The following is an 8397-nucleotide window of genomic DNA, read 5'->3' on the forward strand; positions in this document are numbered from 1 at the left end:
GATCCTGCAGTTCTGCAGTACCTATAAACCCAGGCATTTCCCGGCTCCTCCATGGTGCTCCTCTGGCTACATTCCCCAGCTTGGAACATTCCACTTGGAACTTTGGTGAAGAAGCCTGGTGGATCGACGCCACCTTCCCTGAACCCACATTCCACCAGGGACCCCCATTACCCAATAATCCTACTGTCCTTTGACTCTCAGAAACCAATTTGTTGTCACTTTTCATGACCATTGGCCACAACCAAGGGCCTCTCAGGGTTCCCAATGATGGGAAACGACCTGGAAATGTAGGCACGTCGTGCCATGTCTCCAGGGTTCTGCAGGAGTTCCTAAGTGCTTTTTCTTGCTTCTGTTTGTTTAACTCTTTGCCTCAACATTAGCACAGGCTCTGGAGAAACTTTCCTTCTCTTCCACTGAGAACAAATCACTTCAACCTTCTGAGGTTTCTGTTTTTGCCAAAATCCTCAATTCACATCCTCCTAGATAAGAACCCTGCTTGGAAAATCCTCCTGGCATCGACTCAATGGCCTTGAAACGCCTTTTCCTTCTTCTGTTTGCCATGACAGCCAGGGGACACGGACAGCGTGGGCCACCAGAAAGCAGCCCTCTTTCCCAAGTGGGCACCCACTGAGTTTTGCACCAAGTCACACGCGATGTGAAGATACGGAAGGAGGAATCCAGCACGCCTTCAAGAAGACATCAGGGAAAGAAGCTTGGAGAGCTCGCTCTCCTCTCTAGACCCATCCAACCTGGCCTACGTGGGTGAATTTCCCCTTGACCTTGGGTTTGCTGCATCGGGAGGTCATCCTAAAGAACAGTAGACTTAGCGATTCTGCCAGAGGCTGCAGCTCACTCTCTATGTGAGCGGGAAAGAGGACACTAAAAGGTAAAATCAACAGAGAAAGGAGAAGACCCAGCAAGGGAACTAATTTAAAAGAAAACCATAAGAAGCACCAGATATTCCCAAAAGGACTTAGCATCATTGTCTTACACCCTCTTCCCAAGAAGCTTCAAAAACGGGCGTTCCGTCTTCACTGCTTGTCTTTGATTGTGTCACCTGACCCGAAAGAGCAAAGAAACATTTTCTACTTGATAAAACACCTGGTAAATATCAAAGGTTGGGGACACCAAAAGAAGAGTCATTTCCCTGGGGATTGGTTTTGTAAACTCCTGGTTCACATAAGGTCGTGGGAACTAAGATATGAGGTGATGGGCAGTAAGGGAGAGGGGCCGGCTGAGCAGCAAGGAAGACAGTGTGCGAACCTCATCGAGGGAACGCACGGTCCTCCTCGAGATTTGGAAAGGGAAATCTCAGCCCACCTATTTGCAGTTTCAATTTGAATAGCCCATGTATTCATATGTCAAAGGAAATGCAAGAAATTAAGAGCATCCCTGAAGAGATGTGGATCTCCCAACAGGAACATTATTTTTAGCCAGGTGCAGTGTTTCACACCTGTAACTTCAGCACTTTGGGAGGCCAAGGTGGGCGGATCACTTGAGGCCAGGAGTTCTAGACCAGCCTGGCTAACATGCTGAAACCCCATCTCTACTAAAAAAATAAAATAAAATAAAATTATTTTTAAATACTTTCTCATCAAGGGAAAACTTTCTTCCAAAACTATATCTAATAAGACGGGAGGAAGGGATGGAGGGAATCGGGGTTATGCATTTAGAATTCTCTGGTTCTGACCCAGTGACACAGGCCTCAGGCTACATCTCCACCAGCTCCTAAATTCCGTATCCATCTGTGTGAAACAGACTCTCTTGCCTGACAGGCTGCAGCGGCCGTGCCGACTCTCCAGCATCTCGAGCCATTTTCTAGGCAAACAGGCCTGTGACGTTCTTTTTTTTTTTTTTTTTTGGTTCAATCTCTTTCACCCTCTTGTCTGATATTTTCAAGGGTTTTTAATCACAACTCCAGTGGATTGATCAATGACAGATATGAGCAACAACTTTTGCATGCTAACAGTGCCGGAATTTTTATCTAAGATAATATTTCTCTCTTAAAAAGCCTCTGCACAGCTATGTATTAATTAAAATCTAAATACTAAATATTGATTGATGCGTTATCAGGCCACAGCAGTTGGGCCCTGCCACATTGATTTTTTGCTGTGATTTATTATCATATTTAAGAAAAATCATTTTGTGTGATTATACGAGGAAATGGACTCTAGCGAGGGTGTCATTCTTTTGTATCACTTTTGTTGTATGGAGGACGGACCAATCCCTCAATTGTGGCCGGGACTGCTGATACCCTTCAGCATCCGTCTCTGTGGCCTCCGCCGGCTAATGCTTTAAGCCTGCTTGGTCTTGTCATTAGGAATAATGGGCTTTAGGGTTGCCTCCTTAATCACAGCTGAGATTAACAGACGGATGAACTTAGGTTCTTAAAATTATCTAGTTATTACAAGTATTTCTGTTATCACATAATAACATTGCTGCAGAGGATTTTTTTCCTTTAATGACTCAAATTGAACCAAAACCCCAGAACAATGTCCAGGCTGGCCTAACATGGAGCCAGGAGTCAATCCATCTTTCATCTTAGTGCAGAAGTCATCACCGTCAAAGCAAGAATCTAGCTGTGAGGAAAAACAGAGAAACGCGTGTCTACATAAAACAGGCCAGCGCTCTATGCTAAGGACTATGCCTGAGTTGATGTGAGTCATTTATATGTGAACAACGTGCACCGTGAAGAGAAAGAAGATTTCTGATTACTTCAGATGCCGTCATTTACATCATTCCCTGAAGTAATAATGAGGGGAGAGACGCAAATCTGACTGTGTGAAAATATTTGCACTTATAAATGCTAGATCAGAGGACTAACAAATAGAATCACTCCTAAGCCGTTTTGCATTATTGAGTCTAAACATTCCTTATATTTTATTTTCTTCTCATTTCTTTTGTATGTTCATTGTGAGAGCATAAATTTACTACTTTTGTATTATGTGGAATATGCCAAAATCATTCATTGGTTTTCCCACTTACCATGTCTTTCTTACATGGCAATAAAAATAAAGAAAACAACTATATTGTCTTCAACTTTATATTTGGAGGGTTTTTTGTTTGTGTTTTGTTCTTTGTGAGGTCAATGATTCTTGAAGAAATGATGTGGAATTTCAGCAAGGAAGTCTCCCATGATCTTCAGTGAAGCTTGTCTCCCCCGTAGCCCTCTCTGGTGGTATGTAGGGAATTCGTGTTTGTAAGTGAACTGGCTTGTGCCTTATCACTGGCTACTGTTGCTTTTATCACAAAAGCCAGCATTTTTGCTCATTTGGTCAAGGAATTCAAAGATCAGGCCAGTTCGAGTTTTCTAAAGGGATCATCACCATAAACACTGAGGAACTTAAGAAAAATTGGATGAGCTTTAAGAGCACATTTTAAAGAAAAGAAATTAGACCACTCCATTATCATTAGATTAAAACAAATTTAAAATAGCTGTACTTTTTCTCTAATTTCCTAAAAGTTTAGCCATCTACTTTAAAAAGTAGAATCAAAGATGACCTTGGGAAGAGACTAAATTGGGAAAAATACATAAATACGTGAATCTTGTACCTGCAGCTTGATCCTTGTCATTACTGATCAGTTTTCGGAGCGGATTTACAGAAAAAGAGGGAGAAGAGGGGAAAGGAAGGGAGGAGGAGGAGAGAGGAGGAAGGAGGAGAAGGGGAGAGGAGGAGGGAGGTGGGGGAGGGAGGAGGAGAGAAGAGGAAAAGGGAGGAGGAGGAGGATGGTGAAAGATGAGGGAGGAGGGGGAGGGAGGAAGAGGGAAAGGGAGAGAGGAGGAAAAGGGAGGAAGAGGAGGGAGGAGGAGGAGGGAAGAGGGGGAGGGAGGAAGGAGGAGGGACGAGGGGAGGGAGGGCGAGGGAGGGAGGAGGAAAAGGGAGGAGGATGGAGGAAGAGGAAGGAGGAGGAGGGAGAAGGAGGAGAGAGGAAGAGGATGGAGGGAGGAGGAGGGAGGAGGAGGGGGAGGAAGGAGGAGGGAAGAAGAGGACAGAGGAAGGAGGAAGAGGGAAGAAGAGGATGGAGGAGGGAGGAGTAAGGAGGAGGGAGGAAGAGAATGGAGGAGGGAGGAGGAGAAGAGAGGAAGAGGATGGAGGAGGGAGGAAGAGAAGAGAGGAGGAGGAGGAGCTGCCATTTCTCACAGTCAGACAGTCCTGTGTGCCAGGGACATGGTAGCATGTGTTACCCCACAGCAGCAGTGGCCACCACAGCTCCTCCTGTGTGCGAGTGTGGAGGACACAGAAGTGAACAAGTGCCACCCCTGCCCTGAGGTTGCTGGGGCCTGGTGAGAAGCGACCACCTACCCCCCACCTGCGGACGCCGGGGGGCTGAGACACACACCTGCTGCTGGGACACAGGTAGCCACAGAGGCAGGGGCGCTTCTATAAAGAATGAACGCCTGAGCTGACAGTGGAGGGACAGGCGCGAAGGAGACGGTGGGCAGAGAAGGGAGCTGGCCAGGCAGGGCAGCCAGCAGCACGGTGCGGCCGCAATCACGCCGAGAGGGTTTCGTCAGTCAGAGGATTGTGCATTTTATGGATGTCCAAAAAATGAATTCTGAATCAGGGCTCCTATATCAGAATGAGAGCCTGAAGCTAAACTTGTGGAAATTATTTTATAGGAAAAACACTAAACTCAGTGCCACCTATAAAAACCCTGTCTCCTTCCCTTGCAGTATGAGGTTGAATTATGAAACAGAAAATAATAATAAATGGTTCCTCCACCACTCCTGTAATCTCCACGCACGCCGATGATGAAAAGACGACCGCGTGAAAGGGCAGATGGATGGGACCATTTCCTCTGTAACGGCTTTCAGTCTTTCTATTGTGCTTTTGCATCTCACTGAACAGCAACAGCAAAACCAGGCTAACCTCGCTGCTGCATAACTCCCAGCCCAGTGCAGCATCTTAAACATGCAGTGCTCTCGCCAGTCCTCACACTGAAAACACGTCCTGCTTTGCCTTATTCCTTACATTTAGGAAAATCCCGTTGTAGAACTTTCTAAAATTATGTCTGGTGGAAAACAGGCTCTGGTTTTGCCCTAAATTTTCTCACTTGGTATGGGATGGGGATGAGAACTGAGAATTCTGGATCTATTTCTTCTGCCGGAGATCAGTATTGTGATGATAAAACGCCGGTGCAGGTTGGAAGTCACACCTGAGGAGGAGCTGGGGTCTGCCGGCCTCGCTGGAAGAGAAGACAAAGGCCAGGGCTCAGGGCTCAGAAGAGCCGGGCTGAGAGAGAGGCAGCCACCATCCCGCACCAGCCTGGGTCTCCGAGCAATTGTCTGACATCCCAGAAGGAACCCTGACCTGGTCTTCGTTCTGCCCTGTGGGGCGTGTCTTGCTGCTGAGTGTCCTTGCAGCAGGCACCTGTAGTTTCTTATGGGAGGTACACCCTGAGCCCTAGCTGACCGTGGAGAAAGCAACGCAGGTGTGGGCCGGGGAAGTTAGCACAGAAATTCCATGTGATAGATCAGAACCATGACCCTTGCCATAGACGTCACTGTAATCGTTGAGCTCTTTAGGTCAACTTTGGCACAGCAGCACATCATGATTTATTCATCACGTTTATAAAATTAATACAATCACACTAAACCAGTACATTTAACCTCTCCCTGTTCTAAGATAGCTATGGAAAGAATTAGCTACATAAACATGTGTTTCCCTCCATGCACGCCCTGCCAGGGCCCCGCAGCATCCTGTTACACGTCCCACTGTCACGTGGACACGCGGCTCACTGCAGGATGAGACAGCGCTACACGGAACGGGAAACAGCAGGATTGACTTTAGTAACTCATGAAGAAGCAACAGCATCCTCACTGGGTGCCAGACCCCAACCAGGCACGGATTTCCCCTTCCTGTCTCCAGGTGAATCGGAAAAATGCTCTTGCTGCCCTGTTTTTCTCATGACGGGGTCTCTTTGCATCCTCCTTGCTGGCATTTCCCTCTCAGCGAGTGACTCTCACTGCTCAGCTCATAATCCAGTCTTTTGCTTTGTAGCTGAACACATTTGGGCAGCTCGATGGCTTTGTCCCATTCCCAGTTGAAATGGACTGAATGTCGTTGCCCCCCAAATTCCCATGTTGACATCATCACCCCCAAGGCGGTGATCTTAGCAGGTGGGGCCTTGGGGAGGTGACGAGGTCCCGAGATGGGAGCCCGTGTGGACGGGATTGATGCCCTTAGAAAAGAGGCCCCAGAGGAGCCCTCAGCCCCATCCTTCCACGCGAGGACACAACCCGGAAGAGTCCTCCCCGGAGCGGCACTGTGCCGGCCCCCGGTCTCGGACCTCCAGCCCCAGAGTGCTGGAGAATAAAGGCCCGTTGCTCATGAGCCACTCTGCCTATGCATTTTGTTACAACAGCCTCACCGGAGTCCAACACCAACATCCAGGTGAAACTGACGGAGAGACACAGACCCAGTCCTGAGCCTAAAGCAGCCCTGGCACCTTCAACTCTCATGGCACGATGGCTGTCAGGTGACCACCAGGTGCTCCGACATCCCCAGAACCCGGCAGGGCCAAGGACTGTCCTGGATGACCCCAAAGCCTGGGGCCCGGGGTGTGACTCCTGCAGCACCAGCCACAGGCGATCACACAATGGCACTCTCATAGTGGACATTATAGACACACCACAGCGCGTGGTTCTGAATGCAAACAATCTACACTACACGCCACACAATGGCACTCTCATAGTGGACATTATAGACACCACAGTGCGTGGTTCTGAATGCAAACAATCTACACTACACGCCACACAATGGCACTCTCATAGTGGACATTATAGACACACCACAGCACGTGGTTCTGAATGCAAACAACCTACACTACACGCCACACAATGGCACTCTCATAGTGGACATTATAGACACCACAGCACGTGGTTCTGAATGCAAACAATCTACACTACACGCCACACAATGGCACTCTCATAGTGGACATTATAGACACACCACAGTGCGTGGTTCTGAATGCAAACAACCTACACTACACGCGGTCCATGTGGTGTCTGTCGTCTTCTTCAGGACACAAGTGCTCTTCTTTGGCAAAAATCATTGAGCTTCTAAACTGCAGCCCAGTTCCACCCATCACATCGCACTGTCATATGTACAAACTGAGGTACTCTGTTCACCAGTGTAATTATGTGTGCAATATTCTTCCTTTTGGGGGGGTTGTACACTGAATGTGTCCCCCAAGAAAGATGTGCTCAAGTCCTAAACCTTAGCCTCTGAATGTGGCCTTATTTGGAAACAAGACCTTGGCAGATGTAATCAAATTAAGATGAGGCCGTGAAAGTGGCCTGCTCCCATGGGACTCGGTGTCTTTATAAGAAGAGGACACAGACGCCCAGGGAAGGCGGCCATATGGGGATAGAAGCAAGGCCTGGGGTGACACGTCTGCAGCTGAGGGGCACCAAGATTGCCGGCCTCTGCCAGAAGCTGGAGAGGGCCCTGGAGCAGACTCCCCTGAGCCTTCAGGAGAGCACGGCCCTGCTCACACCCTGGTTTTGACTTCTGGCCCTAAGAACTGGTTTTAAGCCACCCAAGTGTGTACGCTTTCTACACAGCAGGTGCTGGTAAAAGACTTCGGACAACCGGTGTGAGGCATCACCTGGGGAATGCAGGCCTCCCTCGTTCCCACAAGGGCCTCTGCCCACTCTGAAAGCTCAGCTCCAAAGCTGTGGTTTTCCAAGGCCATCACCCTCATCATTATCAACAACACACAGAGGATGTGGCACGCTGTGTGGCCGAGAGCGGATCGGCAAATCTCGCCAAAACGTGTCTTCGCCCATTAAGTAACAGAGCTGCTCCAGGGGTCCCTGAAGTGCCCTGCACTGTTCACAGCACCTTAAAGGCTGCTAAGTCAATGGTCAATTTTGAACTCGGTCTGAGAGTCCAAATTATTTCCCAGCTTTCACCAACAAGTCACGATTCTAGAGAATACCACGCACAATGAAGACTAATCAGTTAATGTTTGAATGAATTCGGCCTGAGCAAACGCAGGGTCTGCAGCCCCCTAGCTGAAGAGAGCCATTGGATAATATGACTCCGTTGCTCAATCTTTTATTGCTTGTCTTAGATAGACATCAAATCTGGGAAAGTCTATTAGAATCGCACTCTAAAAAGTCAAATATTTCTCACATTTGCTGTATTTTAAACATCAGCTGCAAAATAGAGATAAAACTGCACAATTATCTTGACTTTCCAAAGACATGTATGGGCAAGCTCCTAATCCCAACAAAAGGTCCTGGTGCCTCCAGGGTGGCCGAGGCCGACAGAGACAGGGATTCTGGTGAGAACAGCCTCCGCAAGTGGCTTTCGTCCCTTCTCTTGGTTCCTCTTGGGCAAGGAAGCTGGGTGATTTATCTGACCCCTTCTGTCCAACTGTATCTCCGGT

The 8397-nt window shown here is 48.2% G+C and overlaps 1 annotated feature.

Annotated features, from left to right (window-relative positions):
- Positions 3890–4404: an enhancer, noted in NCBI's record as "H3K4me1 hESC enhancer chr18:76707071-76707585 (GRCh37/hg19 assembly coordinates)". NCBI's record gives its function as "activates a minimal SCP1, AML or CMV promoter by ChIP-STARR-seq in naive H9 embryonic stem cells {active_cell/tissue: H9 hESC(naive)}" and the evidence as "EXISTENCE:reporter gene assay evidence [ECO:0000049][PMID:30033119]".

Source organism: Homo sapiens, chromosome 18 (genome assembly GCF_000001405.40).
Source record: "Homo sapiens chromosome 18, GRCh38.p14 Primary Assembly".
Lineage (NCBI taxonomy): Eukaryota > Metazoa > Chordata > Mammalia > Primates > Hominidae > Homo > Homo sapiens.